We start from the raw sequence: 1,473 nt of genomic DNA, 5'->3' as shown, positions 1-1,473 counted from the left end.
TTGAGGCCAGAGTTTGAGGCTGCAGTGAGCCATGACAGATACACAAACAAGCAGAGACAGATTTCAGACAAAGACAAGAGAGGGGGTGCACTCGGGCAGAACAGACTCAAAACCCACTCAAAACCTGATCTTAACCAAATGCAAAGCAGGTGTATAAGCGAGCCCTATTGCTTCCCTGGCAGTACCAGGCAAATGGCTTAACAAGCCCAGATGGGAAAATAATAGGCTCCTGGCATAAATCTGGTTTTACCCTTTGAGCGCGTCCACCCCGATCTCCGTTATTCCCCAGTAGGGAGAGGGACGTGTGGTTTTGCACATGGGATAGCCCTGGGGAGAGTCTCCAGGAAAACCTCACCCGGCAGCTGCTGGGAATCTCCCGAAGACTGTCTTGTCACAAGGAGTGTGAGTATTCCTTCGTTATCTTGTCATGCTTCAAGGCCCAGGAAGGCCTGGGAAAGAGTCTTGGTGGGCCTTTGTTACTTGTTCTGGACTTTGTGTAAGGGCACTGGCTCTCTCAGCCTTTAATATTTAACCTAACCATTCAGTCAGTGCTGAAACAGTTATTATGGAGGCCTGCCTGTTTGTGAGACCTGGCCTGCCACATGATCACCCCACTGCACTCCAGCCTGGGCAACAAGAGTGAGATCCTGTCTCAAAAGTATAAAAAAATGAAAAAATAAAAATAAATAAAATATAAATCTGCAGCATGAGAGCCACGTTTCCTTTTCTGGCGTTATGGGTTTGTGCTCATCTTTTCCATCACTCCCTTGGTCCAGTATACCCCCACTTCACCAATTCCACCTATATCCCTAACCAGCAAAAGTATCAGCATTAGTTGTTGGTACAGAAGGAATTCATTTTAGAACTAGAAGATGCCATAAAGACAACCAAATCCAGGTTCTTGCAGATTTCTTTCCAGGAATCACATGGAGTATTATGTGCTTAAAAACCAGAATAAAAAAAAATTTGAATAATTTGGGCACCTGACTCTCCACACTGGATGAACTTAGAAGTACTCAGAGAAGTATTTTTTTTTAAGTTTTTATTTTTCTAATTCTGAAGCCCAGGCTCCACTTCAGTTTAATGATCTTCTGTAGTTTTGGCTAAGGCAGCAGTATTTTTAAAATATCCCGGCCGGGAGTGGTGGCTCACACCTGTAATCCCAGCACTTTGAAAGGCTTGGAAGGCTGAGACGGGCGGATTACCTGAGTCAGGAGTTCCAGACCAGCCTAGTCAACATGGTGAAACTCCATGTCTACTAAAAATACAAAAATTAGCCAGGCATGGTGGCTCACACCTATAACCCCAGAATTTAGAAGGCTGAGACAGGTGGATCACCTGGGGTCAGGAGTTTGAGACCAGCCTGGCCAACATGGTGAATCCCCATCTCTACTAAAAATACAAAAATTAGCTGGCCATGGTGGCAGGTGCCTCTAATCTCAGGTACTTGGGAGGCCGAAGCTTGAGAATCGC

At 45.6% G+C, this 1,473-nt stretch overlaps 1 annotated feature.

The window, feature by feature from the left end:
* Positions 1 to 90: a silencer, noted in NCBI's record as "silent region_17546". NCBI's record gives its function as "represses an Ori minimal core promoter by ATAC-STARR-seq in GM12878 lymphoblastoid cells {active_cell/tissue: GM12878}" and the evidence as "EXISTENCE:reporter gene assay evidence [ECO:0000049][PMID:35858748]".

Source organism: Homo sapiens, chromosome 6 (assembly GCF_000001405.40).
Source record: "Homo sapiens chromosome 6, GRCh38.p14 Primary Assembly".
NCBI classification, from domain to species: domain Eukaryota; kingdom Metazoa; phylum Chordata; class Mammalia; order Primates; family Hominidae; genus Homo; species Homo sapiens.
This window is presented reverse-complemented; position numbering and strand designations above follow the sequence as displayed.